The 20,105-nt window shown below is 34.3% G+C and overlaps 1 protein-coding gene across 17 annotated transcripts in view; it reads right to left on the reverse strand.

Moving 5' to 3' along the window:
* The window catches only part of DMD (dystrophin), a 2,220,167-nt gene that overhangs the window by 1,304,648 nt on the left and 895,414 nt on the right, over window positions 1-20,105 (reverse strand). For all 17 annotated transcript variants that reach the window (XM_006724469.4, NM_000109.4, XM_011545467.2 and 14 more), the window contains 2 exon segments: window positions 17,311-17,445; window positions 14,372-14,521 (listed from right to left, as the gene is read on the reverse strand). In XM_006724469.4, the coding sequence (XP_006724532.1) occupies window positions 14,372-14,521; window positions 17,311-17,445 (285 nt within the window).

Raw genomic sequence — 20,105 nt, forward strand, 5'->3', positions numbered from 1 at the left:
AACTCACACAATTGATGGTAGGACAAGAAAAATCCCTTTCTCAAATAACAAAAGAAGATACATGAAATAGAGAAGGAAAAATTTCTAATTTACAAAGAAAATAGCATACACATTCATGTCTATTTTTCTTACATTAAAGAGGTCTGGGCTATTGAGTTTATTATCTATGTGTAAATATTACACAAGTGGGTTTCTTCCCCTCAAAATGTAATCACTCTTGACCATTTATTCAATTAATATTATTATGAGAACAAGTTGCATAGTCCACCACTCAGCTGAAAATTGCAGTCACCTTGAACACAGAGGTCTGCCATAATAGTCTGCTTGCAGTGCAATTTTTATATAAAGACAAAGGTTTTTTGCAGAGCATTCAACCTAGGAGAAGTCAAGATTCAAGATATCCAATATCCTTTTTACTACTTAAGGAAAGAAAGCCCTGAATTCAAAGTATGGAAAGATGTAAACCTAGAAGCTATATCCATTATTAACACACTAAGAATAAGATTAAATTTCACCTTTCTAAATATTAAAGCATTTATTGTTAATTAATTATCCTCAATGAAATATTTTCAAGTAATGATAATCTATAAAAGTGAGCCTAAATTGTTAACTCCCAAACCTTATCAAAAGCATTTCAGGTGTACAAATAACCAAATGTATAAGATGACACCCGAAATTGGCTTCAAAGCCATGCAACCTGTGCAGTTATGCAGTAACTCATGCTTAGGAGAGCCCATGCTTGGTTTAATGCTCTGCTGTTGCCATCTTACAATGCTTAATTTTTGAGTATGGGACCCAGTATTTTCTTTCTTCCCTGAGTCCCCCAAATTATGGAGCCGATCCTGACATTTTGGGAAAAACAGCCAACAGCTAAAAGACTGACATAAAAATCTGAATTAAATTGGTTAAGTTAGAGAGATTGTAAAAAAAAAAAAAAAAATACATGAAATTCACATTTGACATACTGGCGGTAACCAGATGAATGACTTGCAAATATGAATATAGTTGGAAGAAGATACTTCAGACTAGAATCCTAGTTGTTTCAGAATATAATCAAATACAACCTGGAGATGCTAATCAAAGATAACGCAAAGAAAAATCCCTTCGCTTTTGATTTTCTATGCGGCTGTATGTGTGTGGTTCTAAATAAAATTATTTTGCAGAAAATTACGGGAGAAAGTCAGATAACTGATTATTTCCATTGCGAATAACTTCATTGGCTACTACTGAGTCCACGATATTATTCTCTAACACTTCTCCTGATTTTAAACGAATCTTTAAAACAAAAGAGCTCCTATTCCAAATACTTTTCACTCTCATTTCCTCAATGACACCAGTTCTCCTTTCTCCCAACCCCCTTTACCGTGCAGAGTCCTAAACAACCTGAAAACAGAGTTACCTACTTCTCAGGGATAAATTTATCCTTGGTGGATAAACTTTCTCAAACTTACTACTCTCCACCTCAGAACCTCCTTGTATTATCTCAATTTTCTCTTTCCCACTTCCAAAGTCAATCCTTCCATTTTTTTTGCTCGTGTATCCTATCTTGTAAGACTTTGCTCTTATATATTATGTCTTTCTATTGGATCTTCCCTTATACTACAAACATGCTTAAATTTTTATTATCCTGAAAATCAACAACACATCTTTTCTGCCCTATTACTATTCAATTTCAGTTACTGGCCTTTCTTTCTCATTTTTTCATCATCACAGATTTATTGTCTCTATTTGCCCTGCTCATTTTCTCTTTTACCAAATCTTAATCTCACAGTTGTTCCTCCTCACTTTGGAACACAGAGACTATATTTAATGAGAGAAGGAGCAAAGAAATACAGCTAGTGGAGGCATCATGTTAGCTGACTTCAAACTATACTACAGTGCTACAGTAACCAAAACAACACAGTACTGGTACAAAAACAGTCACATAGACCAATGAAACAGAATGGAAAGCCCAGAAATAATGCCACACACCTATACCCTTCTGATCTTCGACAAAGCCGACAAAAGCAAGCAATGAGGAAAGGACTCCCTATTCCATAAATGGTGCTGGGATAACTGGCTAACCGTATACAGAAGAATAAAACCTTACACCATATACAAAAATCAACTCAAGATGAATGAAAGACTTAAAATGTCAAAGCAAAACTTTAAAAACCCTGGAGGATAACCTAGGCAATACCATCCTGGACATAGGAATGGGAAAAGATGTAATGATGATGTCAAAAGCAATTGCAACAAAAGCAAACACTGACAAATGAGACCTAATTAAATTACACAACTTCCTCACAGAGTTCCTCTGTTGAACTCTGTCAACAGAGTAAACAGACAAACTACAGAACGGGAGAAATATTTTGCAAACTGTGAATCTGATAAAGGTTTAACATCCAGAATCTCTAAGTAACTTAAACAAATTTATTTTAAAAACTCTACTCCATTAAAAATGGGCAAAGGACATGAACACACATTTTTCACAAGACGACACACATGTGGCCAACAATATGAAAAAAAATGCTCAATATCACCAACCATTAGAGAAGTGCACATTAAAACCACGATAAGATGCCATCTCGCACCAGTCAAAATGGCTATTATTAAAATGTCAAAAAATAACAGATGCTGTTGGGATGGCAGAGAAAACAGAACATTTATACACTGCTGGTGGGGGTGTAAATTAGTTGAGCCCTTGTGGAAAGCAGTTTGGCAGAGCTAAAAACAGAACACAGCAACCCCATTACCGGGTGTATAGCCAAAGGAATACAAATTGTTCTACCACAAAGACACATGCACACATATGTTCATTGCAACACTATTCACAATAGCAAAGATACAGAATCAACCTAAATGCCCTCCATGGTAGACTAGATAAAGAAAATGTGGTGCATATACACCATGGAACACTACGCAGCCACAAAAAGAAGGAGTTCGTGTCCTTTGCAGGAACATGGAGGGAGCTGGAGACCATTCTACTTAGCAAACTAATGCAGGAACAGACAACTAAATATCACATGTTCTCACTTATAAGTGGGAGCTAAATAATGAGAATACATGGACACAATGAGGGAACAGACACTGGGTCCTACTTGAGGATAGAGAATGGGAGGAAGGGGAGGATCAGAAAAAATACCTATCAGGTAGTATGCTTATTACCTGGGTGATGAAATAATCTGTACACCAACCCCCCATGACACACTGTTTACCTGTATAACAAACCTGCATATATACCCAGAACATAAAAGTAAAACAACAGCTAGATCTGTTGAGACCATCTTTCAGATCTGCTAAGAGAAAGGCTGGTAAAGAAAGACAAGAATCAAAGTTCATTTTAAAAGTTTTGGTATGAGAAATTTCAGGAATGAGATGGCATTAACAGAGGTGGAGAAAACGGTGTTGGGTAGCTTTGATAGGAGCTGTCATCTGAGTATGTTAAGTTTGAGTAGCCTATGAGATATCCAAAGAGAAAAATACACAATAGAAGGCTGGATATATGGTCTGAAGTTAAGGGCAAAAGTCTGTGCCAGAGATAATATTTTGGGAATAATTAGCATGTAAATTTTATTTAAAGCCATGACACTGCATAAAGTATTATAAAGAGTGAATATAGAAAGGAAAGGGAGAACATTAAGCTTAAACACTGTTTCATACACACTTGGATCCAGTTGGCCAATAATTTGTTTCAGAACTTTTCCTTATTAATTTATGACTGAAATTGGCATGGGGTTTTCCTTCCTGTTTCATTTTTGTCTGATTTTGGTAAAAAAAAAAAAAAATTTTCTAACCTTATATTTTCCAGACATGTATATTGCCTTGTATGTTCTACTGAGTTTGTTGATGACTGGAATTATCTATTCCTAGAAAGTGTGTTCAAATTTGAATGTAAAATAATTTCAGTCTAATATAGTCTTTGTAGGAAGACTTTTAATTTGTGATTAAATTTCTGTCTCCTCAGGCTTTCTATATCCCCTTCCATCATTTTTGTAGCAATATTCTCCTAGAAATTCATCCATTTCATGTAAGTTTCTAAACTTATTTGCATAGCTTTTAGTATTTTCTGTATTTTAAAAATATATTATAACTGTAGTTATAACATTTTCATCCTTAAGATTTTATATTTGTTTTTACTTCCCTCTCAGTTGATTTGTCTAATTAAAACATGAATATGGGCATTTAAATTTTATTGATTCCATGTTGTTTTTATTTATTTCTGCTCTTGAATTCTTCTCTTTCCATTTACTTTCTCTGCATTTATTATACTTTTCCCTATTTTCTTGAGATGGGCAGTTAGCTCACTAGTTTTCAGCCCTTCCGTCTCTTCTACAAAAATTAACAGGAACCAATTAGTTTTAATTTTTATTTTTATTATCACTCGGTTCTATGAATTTTAACCATCCATTTTGAATTCATCTTTGATCCACAAATTATTTACTTTAGTCAAGTTTTTACTATTGATTCTAGCTTGTTACAAATTTAAGAGTATTTCCCTAATAATACCAAATATGTGAAATGTATTGACATTTCCATGTACTTCAGATGAAATTTACACTCTGATTTGGGGTTCTCTATACAGTCTTTATATCCACCTTATCAACTGTTAATCATCACTATCTTCACTAACTTTTGTCTGGTGTCTTGAAAGAAAGAGGCATTATGAAATCTCCCACCATGCTGATATAGTTGTGTATTTCTTCTTGTTATTCTGTGGATTTTTGCTTTACGTGTTTTAAAGGTATTTTCCCAGGTATGTACGAGATTTTTTTGTTTCTTTTGACAGAGTCTCACTCCGTAACCCAGGCTGGAGTGGAGACTGCAATCTCAGCTCACTGCAACCTCTGCCTCCCAGATTCAAGCAATTCTCCCACCTCAGCCTCCCAAGCAGCTGGGACTACAGGCGTGCACCACCACAGCTGGTTAATTTTTGTATTTTTAGCAGAGACGGGGTTTCACCATGCTGCCCAGATTGGTCTCGAACTCCTGACCTCAGGTGAGCCACCCACCTCGGCCTCTCAAAGTGCTGGGATTAGAGGCGTGAGCCACCATGCCCGGCCAGGTATGTACAAGTTTTAGAACTGTTATATTTTACTCCATTTTTTGCCTAATAATGATAATGACCATAATGTCTATTTTGCTGGAAATAAATTAGGTGTCTAAGCTTTTTATTGATTAATCCTTTTCGGAAAATCTGTTTCCATTTTCGATATATGTGTCTTTATGTATTTCTTAAAAACAATGTATTTTGAATTTTGATGCTTTATTCTGAAAATTTCTACATTTATATATTAAATGTATTGAGCAAATAGTTCTAGGACTACAGATGTATTTTTTTTTTCTTTTTCTTTTCTTTCCTTTTTTTTTTTTTTTTTTGAGGCAGAGTTTTGCTCTTTCACCCAGTCTGGAGTGAAATGGCATGATCTCAGCTCACTGCAACTTCCGTTCCCTGGGTTCAAGTGATTCTCCTGTCTCAGCCTCCCGAGTAGTTGGGATTATAGGCACCCACCACCAAGCCTGGATACTTTTTTTTGGGTTTTTTTTTTTTTTTTTTTTTTTTGTATTTGTGGTAGAGACCAGGTATCACCTTGTTGGCAGCCTGGTCTGCCTGCCTTGGCCTCCCAAAGTGCTGGGATTAAGGCATGAGCTACCACGCCCGGCCGCTGGTATTTTTCTACCATCTATTTTTTTCTATTTCTATTTTTCTACCATCTTTTCTTTTATTTTATGCTCATCTCACATTTTTCTGTTTTGTTTTCCTTCTTTCTTGCTTTACTGCGTACTGATTGAGAACTGTTCCTTTTATCATTCTTTGATTGTTTCCCAGGTGGATGCTCCATTAGTGGTTATCCTTGACAATTTATTACAGCATAAAGTCGACATTTAATCACTATCTCTACCCTCTTTCTAAATAAAAGGGCTTGTGGCTGTAACTCCCCTCCATATTGTTTTTAATCTAGTATTTTAGATCAACATTATTTTAAATGAAATTAGATATTCTTATATATTTTTTGCAACAAATGCCTTTTGTATTTAAAAGCTTAACTATTTTTTCATCATACTTATTGCATCTAAAACCTTTAAAACTTATTTTTCTACTACTTCTAATTCTTCATACTTATTTTAGACATTTTTATAGTAAGGGTCTATTGGGGTAAAATTTCACTTTTTTTTCACTCTGATAATGTCTAATTTCCTCTTACTCTGAAGAACTAATTTTGTTGAGTTCAGAATTCTAGGTTGACGGTAATTTTTTCAATATCTTGAAAATATTTTCCATTGCTTTTTTATTCTTATTCATTGTTGTAGATAAGAAGTCTAATGACAGCCTAAATTTAATTGCTTTGTAGGTTATCCATCTCACCTCTAGCTGCTAATATAAATTTGTCTTTGGATTTCTGCACTTTCACTGTGATATGTCTGAGATTGGATTTCTATTTATTTACTTTGCCTGTTATATAATGTGCTTTCTGTTTAAGTGGTTTATGTCACTGGCTCTTGGAAACTTTCCTTTAATATCCTTCATATATTACTCCATCTCCATTTCTCAAAAAAATTATGACATACAAGAAAGCTGTATATAATTAACATACACAAGTTGCTGAGTTTGGAGATAAATATACACTGATAAAAACATTACCTCAATCTATGACATAAACCTATTCATCATCTCCAAAACTTTCCTCCTATTCTAATATTATTATTATTCTGTAACAGAACACTTAACATAAGGTCTATCCTCTTAGCAAAGTTTAAGTAAATAGACTAACTATAGGCAATATGCTTTACAGTAGATCTCTAGGAATTATCTATATTGTATAACCTAAACATTGTACCCTTTTACAAATATCTCTCCATTTTTCCCTTCCCCTAGCCCCTGGCAGGAAGCATTCCACATTCTCCTTCCATTAGTTTGACTGTATTAGATTCATAATATGATTGGGATCATGTATTATTTGTCTTTCTATGTCTGGCTTACTTCATGTAGCATAATGTCCTCCAGGTTTATCCATGTTGTTACAGCGAAATGGTAGGATTTGCTTATTTTTTAAGGGCTGAATAATATTTCATTGTATGTATATATCACATTTTCTTTTTCCTTTCACCTGTCAATGGACATTTAGGTTGTCTCTATATCTTTGCTATTGTAAATAATGCTGCAATAAACAATAGAGTGCAGATAATCTCCTTGTGATTCTCATTCAATTTCCTTTGGATATATCCCTAGAAGTGGAATTGCTGGATCATATAGTAATTCTATTTTTAATTTTTTTTTTGAGGAATCTCCATACTGTTTTCCATAGTGTCAGCATGAATTAACATTCCTGCCATCAGGGTACAAGGGGCCCTTTTCTCCACATTCTTGCCAAACTTGTCATCTCTTGATTTTCTTTTTAAGTAACTGCCATTCTAACAGATGTGAAGACATATATCATTGTGGTTTTGATTTACATAGCCCTGATGATTAATGAGTTTGAGCACCTTTTCATATATATGTTGGCCATATGTAGGTCTTCATTGAAGAAATGCCTTTTGAGCTCAACTGCTCATTTTTAAATTGGGTTATATAATTTTTTTATATTGAATAATAATAATCTCCATTTTCTTTATTCTCCTCTTTGAAAACTCCCATTGAGATAAGTTATATGTTCATATTCTACTCCCCACCCCTGTATCTATTACCTATTGTTCACATCTTCCACCTCCTTAGTTTTTGGTAACACAGTCTGTACATTCTCTTTTAGTTTTCTTTTAAATCATTTCTTTCAACTAATATGTTTATATATGATATATTCATTTTCTAATTTTTAATTGTAGTTGTTTAATTTTGATTTCTTTATTCCATTTTTACAATGTTTTCTTTTTTATAACTTCAATAACATTTATTTCTATAATATTTTACCTATTTATTTTATACTATACATCTTGCAATTCTAATATCCGGAATTCTAGAAGTAAACTCACCGTTCGTTGTATAGGCTGACTGTGCTTCATGAGGGCTTTTCTTGTGCGTGTGAGTGAGTGTGTGTATGTCTATGTGTTTATGATGAGCTCAAGTTCCCCTGAGTTTAATCTGTGAGGACACTGAGGGCACTTTTCATGGTAAACAATTTGCATTTGCTTCTAACTAATGCTAGGACGCTCCTAACCTGGTGCTACCCTGACTTAATCACTTGTTTGGATATTTCTTTACCCTTTGTGATAATATACACTCAAGAGTTCCTCACCTTACAAGAATAGGCCAACACACATTTTCAGGTGACATTATTATAATTATTCTATTACTTTGCACTCACAGTGAGAAGACAGATGTCTTTTTATGTTTGTTCTCTCTGCAGATAGAATTCTCTCTGCCCATTATCTTACTGATAGAACCCCAGTTTTATGTGGAATCTGTGTTTAGCTCCACCATTTTCGTGAGCCAGAGGATCATATTTCTTTTCCATCAAATGACTTAATTCACCTAAAATTGGGGTTCCCAGTCTTAGCTTTTATCTCCACCATACAAATGTCAGTGGTCATAGGCATGTTACGGCATGACTTCAGTTTCATCTGATTTTTTTCCTAGCCTTTAAAGGTTTACTTATACTTCTTTGAAAGCAACATAAAATACAACTACTAGACATTTTCCAGCATCCTAGTGCTTTCCAGAGGGCATTACAGAAGACTTAGCTGTCCTAGCCCTTGAGAACAGAAGTCAGCCCTATCACAACAACTGTGAAGTAAGCTAATCAAATCTATTTCATAAAGCAAATGTGGGATTTAAGTTTGATGTTGCTTCTAACGGCTTAGCAAAAGGACTGACGTAAAACTGTGCTCAAAAAGTAATGGCTTTTACTATTATTATAGACAGATATTGTCTACAAAACATATTGACAAATTAATAAAGCATAATATGCCACTTATTTTCCTAGATTACTTTATAGTCTTCCTTCAAGCAATGTTCTTCCGTTCTGGTCTATCTATGCTAAGGTAGATGTGACACTGAGGGAAAAATTCAAAGTCATAATTACCAGGAAAAATTAATACGGCCCTCTCTGAGTCTATCATAAATGTTACTATTACAGAAGAATTAACCAATTTAGATTTTGTCCCTTTCAGTAAATTTGCTATTTCATGTCAGGCATAACAACTTACAGACATCTTTGAAAGGGACTGAAATACGGGCATTAATAAGCCACGAAAGAGGTGAAATAATCACTCATCAAGAGAAGTGGTAAAGGCTTTGGACTTCTCAATGTGTGACTTTAATATTTAAGACTCTAAATTTTATTTTAATTAGTCAGCCATAATACTTTTAAGGCCATGTTTTAAGCTTTCCTTAAAAACGGGGAAACTCGTTAATTGCCATATTCACTTATTAGCAGAGTTTTTATTTTTAATATATGAAAAGGGTCACAGAGATTGGAGGTAGTGTAGCCAAATGGTCACGTGCCTAGGCTTCAAGTGTAAAGAGATGGGTCTAAATGCTCAATAGCTTTTTCCTAGGGCCTTTAATATCCTTTCAATTTCTGTAGAATGGGAATATGAAAAACCATATATCGGCCGGATGCGGTGGCTCACGCCTGTAATTCAAGCACTTTGGGAGGCCGAGGCGGGCGGATAACCTGAGGTCAGGTGTTTGAGGCCAGCCTGGCCAACATGGTGAAGCTCCATCTCTACTAAAAATACAAAAATTAGCCTGGCGTAGTGGCATGTGCCAGTAATCCCAGCTACTCGGGAGGCTGAGGCAAGATAATCGCTTGAACCCGGGAGGAGGAGGTTGCAGTGAGCTGAGATTGCACCCTTGTACTCTAGCCTGGGCAACAGGGAAAGACTCCATCTCAAAAAAAGAAAAAACAAAAACAAAAACCACCATGTATCATAAGGCTATTGTGAGAACTAAATGAGAAAATGCATATCTGACAATTAAAAGGGTACCTGAGCCTCTGTAACCAAATACTATTACCAATATTATTATTCATTTTGTTGTATTACTAAATCATCTTCTGCTGCTTGGTTACCCTGTTAGAGAATAAAGCTATTACAATAGTTGTAAAAATGATATGATTTGGTACGTCTGTTGGAGATGTTGCCTGGTTTGCTAACCATCTTTCAAATCATTACTGTGAGTAGAAAATATAGTGCTATATGATTATCAAGAATGAAAGATGCCTTTTGAAGTGATGGAAATAATTTATTACTTATTTGAATGCAAACTCACACTCTGAAATTAGGGATGGGATCTAGCAAATCTCTTTTAAATATTCATAGGCAATAAAAGTCTGGCTGTTTGACTGATTTAACAGGCAATTGAATGTTACCTTAGTTCTGCATAATTGCAGCTATAAGAAACATTAGGTAGGTGATATAAAAACCTCACAAACCTCTGACATAGGCACTTAATTGATTTTAAAAAATAGGTTAAGGCTCATCTTCAAATTAAAAGGCACTTTGTTTATTAATAGCAAATCTGGCTGAGGCAGGAGAATTGCTTGAACCCAGGAGGCAGAGGTTGCAGTGAGCCAAGATCGTGCCATTGCACTCCAGCCTGGGCTTCAGGGAGAGACTCTGTCTCAAAAAAATAAAATAAAATAAAAATAGAAAATAACCACAAAATAAAAACTTTTTTGTTTAACCAACCAAAAATCAAGAGAATCATGGCCTAAAACAAATTCAGAATTCTTGATTATAACACATTAATGTACAACAAGAATTTTTTAAATTGATTTAAAAACTCAGTTACTGTAATCATTTTGTTTCTTCAGCCTCTCAGATAATTTATCCCAAGGCTTATTCTACTGCATCGAAACAACAGTCTTTTTAACTAGATAGTGGAAATATCCAAAGGATTGATTTAGCTAATAAATTATTAGGTGTGTCTTTTTTACCTAAGTAGTTTGAAATTGATCAAAGTGCTGAGCAAAGCCTGAGAAATACAAAAGTCCTATTACTACACATTGTTTTAATTTAACATTGTATCTTTCAGGTCTAATCAGCTTATCACAGGCTGATACAACAGAATTTGAGAAGGATATTATGTTTAACATGATGTGGTTTTCATGAAAGCCGTAAAAACTAAATATGCTTTATTTTCATTGTCAAATAACTCCCAGGTTATTACTGGCCAAATATGTAATATAAACACAGCTAGGACTGATAATAGTTTCAAGTTTACTTATTTTAGATTTATTGTTATTTTAACACTCTGCTTAATCATTGAGGTACAAGTGGAGAGCTTCTGATTTTAAGACTTAGAGGGTGATAAAAATCCTTTTTATCTGTCTTCACATTTTATTTAACTAATGGAGGCATGTGCATTTCATTATATTTCATATTGCACTATCTGCATTTATTTACCAATCACTGCCCTCAGTGGGATATATATATATGTATATTTACATATTTTTAAATATATATTTACATATTTTAATATATACTTACATATATATATATATATATATATTTACACCCATACAAACACACACACACAATTTTTGAGGGCTGATACTCTAGAATATCATCTAGTCAAAATAAAAAGGCTGATCATGTATTAAATTTATTGAATAATTTATTGAATATGTACTGTGTTCCTGGAACCATAGTACTTTAAGTGCCGTATTTTATATTTTGCTCACAAAAAAAACCCCCTATGAAACAGGATGAGGAAACGTAAGTTTAAAACTGTTACTCAAAATCACATAGCCAGTGAATTACAGAGGGATTTGCCAGTTATCAATTTTTTGCCTTTCAACATGATCCTGTTTTTGACACGGGAACATTTCTCCCCTTGCCAGCTGACATGATATTAAGTTCTGTCAGTAAAGGATGCTGGAGTGACAATGGGGGAGGTAGAGGTTTGTCTGTCCCAGTGTGCTTTTAATTCTTTTTCAAACCTGTGACTCTGGGCTGGCCTATGGAATGCCCAGTAAGGCTCACCTCATCCACCCCACTTTACCCAGAAGACTTTCAGCAACACTATGGGTCGTGTTTGACAAGTTCTATGGGTACCCAATAAGCAAATTGAGGATGGGTGGCAAATCCATAGGCAGCTTCCTGGAGCCCCACCTCATTTCCTCAAGTTTAGTAGCATCCACTACAGGTAGTTTCCCACCATGTCCAATGAATACACCAGACAGCTTTCTAGCAAATTCAATGGTTCCCCACCATAGGCTACTTCCCTGTGAATTTTGTCAGCATTCCCCTCCAATATTCTCTTCACACTAGCTTCAGCTCACTGGCTATAGACTTGTTCTGGATTGGGTCAATGAAGGAAACTTCTCTGTCATCCCATGGGAGGCAGACACACACTTTCTAAAGAAGTTTGAATCCAGCCTTGGGTTGAGCTCCTATCTTTCCATATTAGTTCCTTGTTTGTGTACTATTCCTCAGGCTTAAGGTATTCTTTAGAGATCTCTTTTATTTCCTATTAAAAATTAATTTCCAGTAAGTAGTTAATACTTATTTGTGTTAAACCATCTCTGTTTAAGTGACTGAGTGGTTTCTGTGCCCTGTCTGGACCCTGACTACTAATACAAGGTGTTATTCTAGCCCAAGTTTCAAGTATTTTCTTATTCAAAAGTTTATGCTTTAAAAACTCAGTCCAGAAAATAAGATAATACGTGTTGAATCAGGGTATGTTGCTGAAATGAATTATTTTTTCTTTGGGGGAAATGTCAGGGTTTATACCAAAAACCTTTAAAATAGAAGGTTATAAGTAGTTTTGTGTTAATAAAGGATTGCAATATAATTACATTAATAGAGTTAATACCAAGATCAAGTTAGAGAGTAAGCTATTCCTAAGGACAGAATAGATGAGTACTGAAAAATGTCAAACACTGAAGTTGGATCTTGGCCAGGTGTATCTCCCAGCACTTTGGGAGGCCAAGGCAAGTGGATAGCTTGAGCCCGGGAGTTCAAGACCAGCCTGGACAACATGGCAAAACAACATTTCCACACACACACACACAAATAACCGGGAGTGGCAGCATGCACCTGTAGTCCCAGCTACTCAGGAGGCTGAGGTGGGAAGATCACCTGAGCCCAGGGAGGTCGAGGCTACAGTGAGCCACGATCATGCCACTGCACTCCAGTCTCAGGGACAGAGCAAGACCCTGTCTTTAAAAAAAAAAAAATTTGAGTCTTTTCACAGCTAAGCCAAGGTCAGTTTCACAATGACTTTTAATTTTTTGATGCAACTGCTGTCTCCTACCTGACACTGATATTCAAATAGAAATAAAAACACATTCCAATTCCATATCACAACCCACATTGAAATGATCTTCAATTTACTTGCCACATAGCAATATCTATTTGACTCAGATCCAGCAATAGTGCAACAATGATGAAGGACCAGAGATTGTTTGGAATTCCCCTTTTCCAATCCCCAATTCCTTATGTTGATTTGGATAAAATATGGATATGCCACCCAGGATTCAAGACTGGAGGTGCTGCTGGTACATTTGCAGATATCTGCCCTACCCTCACATACTTCTCTTCAGAATTGGATAGAGAAGAGGTTTTCCTACTCAAGGCGTTCCTTTTCAATCTGTAAGCATGTCAAAAGGTCCCCGACATTGACTATTCAATAAGTCATTAGTCAATGGTTTCATGCATACTACCCTAGTTACTACCCCCCCTTATTCTCTTTTTTCTCTTCATACGTTATATTATTTGTTTTTATGTCTTGCACATTCTAGGAAATCAGTAACTCTTCCTTAACTAACCAATGTTTTTAAGTTATGAAGGTTAGCAAATTTTTCCTACTCATCAAACCATAGAACCATATCTCACATGTAGTAGATGTACTCAGTAAGTGAATATAAAACTAAACATCATTATAAAATGGGTTTTCTTCTTGACAAATAATCCATTCTTAGGAGATAGTATGCAAAACACTGACTAGGAGAAATTTGCTATTTTGTTTTAGTTTTGATTTGAAAAATCACACCATGTGTGATATATGAAAATTTATCTATAAGAAATGTAGTGTTATTTATGAAGAATAAATAATATGGGGTACTAACAGAATTGCATGTATTATTAGCAGATTACATGTGACATAACAAATGTGTGTGGAATGGAGGGAGAGGAATAAAATGAGACAGCGAGAGAGAAAGGATACCCACACATACTGGTCTATCTTGAGTAAGGAAAAGAACTCTGTGGTCAGAGTAACCTTCTTGGGATGTCTCAGTTGCCTTTTAAGAATCCTAACTTACAATGTTTTTGTGAAATCACATGCTATAATACACATGTAAAGAATTTACCCAGTGTCTGGCATTGGATTGTCTCTGAAACCTGAAAGCTGAGCTAATATTTAAACTATTGCTCATTTTATCTGAGAGGCCTGTATCTGCTATACATTAATGCAAATTAGATTAAAGAGATTTTTCACTTATCTTCATACCTCTTCATGTAGTTCCCTCCAACGAGAATTAAATGTCTCAAGTTCCTCATTGATTAGCTCATCCATGACTCCGCCATCTGTTAGGGTCTGTGCCAATATGCGAATCTGATTTGGGTTATCCTCTGAATGTCGCATCAAATTTTCAAGTGACTGAAACACATTTGCAATAATTACTATTTCTCCTTTTTTTTCTAAATACATTGGATTATCAGCAAATGCTCAGTATCTTCTGATTTACATATAATTAAGTCATAATCAATTTAAAGCAAATTTTAATTGGGATTAAAAACACCAAGGAGCATTTTTGCTTCAAAAAATAGGATGTCATTCTATATGAATCTTCATGGGATTATGACAGTGTTGCGGACTGAGAACTTAAAACTTGATTCACAACCACCTTTTTCCTTGACGTCCCCTAACTCTAAAACCAGAAGAGGTAAAACACTAAATTTCTCAACTTCTCTGATAGCTAGTGGTGTCCACGTGACACAATTCTGAAAAAGAGTACTCTCTCAAGAAGAATCCTTTTGCCCTTCCTACTTTTTTGCACATACATGGCCTGGAGGTATAACAATCATCTTTGCACTGGGAGGCAATGACTTTGAGTGTGAGGTCCTTCATGCTCAGGAAGAGAGAGCAGAGAGTGCCTACTCGCCTCATAATATGGCTGAACCATCCTCAACCCTGAGTAACCTCCCTTCACTATTCTTTTCGTGGTGAGAAAAGATCATTTTGTGAGCTTAAACCGTTGTCTGATTCTCTGTTACGTACATCCCAATAATACCCATCTCCTATACTGCTCAAAATTGACAAAGTTGCCTGGCTAGATAATATGATGAAAGTGAATCTCAGTGTCATAGGCATGCCAGAAAACAAGGGATTCAATTTCATCTTACTGGACCTCAAACATATCTATAAAATAAGTGATGGGCATATGTTCTCACAAATTTATTAAATCTTCTGTTTTCCTTGTTTTAAAAAAATGAAAATCTTCCAATACATATTTGTAATTTTTCCTGTTTATGTATTTTTCTTGAATTTTGAGCAAACTCAATACATTGTCCTATTAAGTTTCAAGAAAATAAAGAGACTTCCTAAATACATTTATATTAAAAAAAATCACTATAACCTGTAAAATACTTTAAAAGCCATCAAATTTTTGAGTAGAACAATGTGATTGTTAATAATTTTCCTAATAATTTATATTCCTTATTACTTCTAACAAATCTTAATTTTGTAAATATTTATTTGCAAAATGGATATAAATAATTTTAATGGATACATTATTTTATAAGTCTTAACAAAGTATATACCTTGTTAAATTTTTTTAAAGGTGGATGAAAAGCAACAAAGCAAAATTAAGGGATCAGTTATAAATATCTTGAGTTGCAAGAAAACCTAGAAGTCGTGCAGTTTTTCTATCCTTGATACGTGGTGATCTAGCCCTTTTCACTCAAAATGTCCTCCTGGATAAGCATCAGCAACACTACCAAAGAGCCAATTTTATGTATGTATTTATTTATTTTTTCACTGTGGAATTTCATTTATTGGCTCCATTATCTGAATTAGGAACAATTTGAAATTATGACCACAACATAGAAATAAAAGATAAGAGCACTCGCAATTTTCCTCCTCCCTGCTTGTCTGTGTTGTGGGCATTGTGAGGGCCTCGTCTAAAATAGTAAATAGTAATGGTAAGTTTTGTTTCCCCATCTTTTCTAAATGCTCTTCATTATGGCTTCAAATTTTCTCTCTTTCCTTAACATTCCTTTGTGAACATGCCCTAGTTTTTCAGCACATCACTGAAACTGTGAGAGCAAGAATTTAGCATGGTGCTCCATGTACGATTTGACAATTTCATAGGCTAACAGCATCATCCTATCTTCTGTTCTGGCCACTGTCCTTTTATTAATGTGCTGTAAATTTGCTGCAACTTTTCTAGAACATGTAACACATTGCTGATTCACAAGAAATGTTTGGTCAATTAACTTCTCTGAATACGACAAATTTATAGTCATAGTCAGATAGAGCCAAAATTAAAGTCCACTGGAGATCTACTTCATTGTACTTTAATATCTTTTCAGGTTTTATAATTTCCTTTTGAAAATTAGGAAGTTGGATAAAATGATCTATAGGTGTCTACTCTGATGTTCTAGGATTACAAATTCTATTCTGTCTAAAGAAATACCTTACATTTTCTTCACATCTTGAATAATTTATGCTCCTTATTTTATAGATTTACAGAGGGGCTATACTACTTATAGCTTTACGTACATATATTACATATTCTAAAACAACATATTCATTACATATAGATAAGTCAAAAGTACACTAAAATGCATAGAGCTTGAATGATTAAATGTCAGAAGTTAAAGTCAAGTTTATAAATGCAAACTCATTTAATTATTGAAAGTCTCCAAAGTAAAACTTAAAAATGTACTTACATTTTATGAATACTTTAAAGATATATTTCCAATATTAAAGCATATCCATTTAATAACTCAAAACATTCCGTAAGGTGTAAATTTGTGATTTTAAGTAAGTATAAAATAGGTTCCAATTCAATACGTGCAGCTTTTAAACTGGAAATAATATTTCATATTATCATCCCGATTAGCCCTAAAGCAGTGAGTTTGTTTATTCACACTGTCTTTGCAGGTTTGTGGTACATTTAATTAGGTGAAGCATCTATGTAGAACTTAGTGATATAATAAAGGCAAATTTCCTCTGTGAGAAGCCATTTAAACCCTTTGCAAAATCTTGTGACCTAGAAGGTTATTAGGGGGAACAAAGGCTTTATCCAAAGTACCAGTGCTGAGTGATAACATAGTAATTATACTCTCTTGGGTTGTTTTCTTTGGATTTGTCTTCTATTTGGTACTTGACCTCTTTTAATACTGCATATAAATTATCATCATTTGGCTTAATTTACAACTTACATCTAGCACCTCAGAGATTTCCTCAGCTCCGCCAGGAATGTTTTCAGTGGTTTTAAGTTTAAATTCTACTTCATTTAGCCACTTGTTTGCTTTCTCCAAGTATGACAATAACTCATGCCAACATGCCCAAACTTCCTAAGAAAGAAATATATATCACAGATTAAATATTATGGTAGAAAAGTAAATGTGAAATTTTGCCATTTCATTATTAAAACTTCTGAAAATATAACACTTTGTATTTTTCACCTTTACTTTGTAGCAGGTAATTCAAAATGCAGCTAGACAGTTTCATCATCTAATACCTCTACAATCAAAAGTCATTAAGAAAACATTTTATTACATGAATAATGAATAAATTCAAAAGACAGTAATTTACTTTTTAAAATAAAAATAAGCACCAACATTGCAGTCTGGGAAACAGAAAAATAAAAGCATATGTAAAAATGCATATGTAAATCTAACTCCCTCACACATCACTGTTACCAGTATTCTGTGACCTCCTCTGAAATTTATCATATATAATTTGATAGTTAAAATTTAAGTGAGTTTAACTATAGCTCTCTTTTCACTAAACATTATATCATACCATTTTCTGTATTACTAAGAAGACATATTTTTAATGAAAATCTAAGACTTCTTTAAAGTGGCTCTATCTTAGTTTAGCAATTTCCTTTTTTTAGATAGACTACTTTTAGTTTTGTTTGCTATTATAAATTTATGGTAAACATCATCGTGAATATGGACTATTTTTCCACATTCTTATTATTTCCTTGAGGTATATTATCGGAAATATTACCACTAATTCAAAGGTTTGATTATTTTAAATGGCCATTAATTTGTATTATGAAACTGATTTATACACAGAAGTACTCATAAAAAAGCAGAACTTTAAAATTTCTACAAGAAAATATAGAAGAAAATATTTCTGACTTTGGCATAGAGAAGAATATCTTAAGTAAGACATCTCGTAAAAAACTGACCGTAAGAAAAAAGAGATGAATACATTCGACTACATTAAAATTAGGACCTTCTATTCATCAAAGGACACCATCAAGTAATTGAAAAACAGACTCAAAATAGAAGAAAACAACTGCAACATCTGTAACACATAAGAATATGAAAAATGCCAGCAAGTCAAATAGAAGATGAATAACCCAATCGATAATGAAAAGAAAACCTGAACCAAAATCTTAAAGAGAAATATGTATATACATTAAACATGAAGATATGTTCAATCTCATTAGTAATCAAGGACATGTAGGCCAGGATTACAATGAGATACCATGTTGATTGACACAAATGAGAAGTTTGACAATTCCACGTGTGAGAGAAGATATACATGAACAAAAATTTGTATTTATTGTTGGTGGGTGTGTGTACTGAAATGGCCATTTCAGAAAACAATTTGTTATTCTCAATAAGGTGAACATTCACATACCCATCAAGACAACAACTCCACTTTTTGATATGTGCATCCTCAGAGAAACTGTTTAACATGGATAACAAGACTGTTACAACAATGATCATTTCAGCCCTTTTTGTAGTAATCAAAAAAAAGGAAATAATGTCCACTGCAAGGAGAATGGAAAAATATACCGTCATCTTTAAACAGAGAATACAGACGTGACAATGAAAAATCTCATCAAAAAGAACCATAAGAATGAATCTCAGACACAAATATGTTGGGTGAAAGACAAAGCCCTAAAAAAACTATATTATAGTTTACCATTACTGTAATACTGAAATTAAGCACAATTGTTTTTTCACTCATATGTGTGTGGATTTTTTTTAAACAAAGGAATAACAAAGGTAGCTTTCTAGATGGTGATTATGTCTATTGGGGAAAAGATAGGAAGATGCGAGAGAGGATAAGAATGTAACAACGGTCATTTTCTGTTAGCTTTGTAACTGTTGAATGAACCTATAAGTACAGTAAACACAATGCAGCAATCATCACCACTTACTACCACCTGCCCCCGCCTCACTACCACCAAAATTAAAGGCTTGAAAGGAAGATTTATTTCAGAAGGATCTAAAAAATTAATCAGATTTCCCAAAGTTCTCTATGTTCATAGCCCTTAGAATGACACAGAGTATTCGATCTCTATCTGATGAAAAGTATCAGTCTCACCTGCTTGGCAAACGTACCAACCTTTCATACCTGCTTGATATCTTATGTACAGTTTATTGCAAAAAGTGAAATTAAGTGTTTTGCTTTAAAAGGTGATAGAAATCTAAAATCTGGGTCATTTCCAGCTCCTGCTGGACTACAGGCTGTCTTCATTCTGGGCAAAGATCCCAGTGGGAAAATATAAATATCTTCTTAAATACCCGAGGGTACCTTAGAGCTTTGAAGACAAGGAGACGTGATTGGTAATGTGTCTTATTAACTTTGGTGCAGATTGAGGTAATGAACTACCTTGCTGATTTAACTGTCAGAATGGATAGCTTCTTCTGTCCTCAATGCATCTGAAGGACACAGCTGGAGAGGCTGAATGTACCAGCTTTACAGGTCACCTTTGCAAAATAAAATATAGTCTTGAAGCCCGAATTGGAGCTAAAAGCCACTTAGAATAACTGTTAAGCTTAACAGTTTGGATCTTAAAATTACTTTGAAATCACAGAATCCAAAGTGGCTTTGAAGGAAAGTACAAATAAAAAACTAAACTTCTGTTCAAAATAGTAGATGGAGCTGATGAGGTAACTCCCAACATATCCTGCTTCAGTTATACCAAAATACATGTTAAAATACAAAGGAAACATTTTTAATTCATAGCTGATCTGTAAAACATGTA

This window comes from Homo sapiens, chromosome X (genome assembly GCF_000001405.40).
Source record: "Homo sapiens chromosome X, GRCh38.p14 Primary Assembly".
In the NCBI taxonomy this organism is placed as follows: domain Eukaryota; kingdom Metazoa; phylum Chordata; class Mammalia; order Primates; family Hominidae; genus Homo; species Homo sapiens.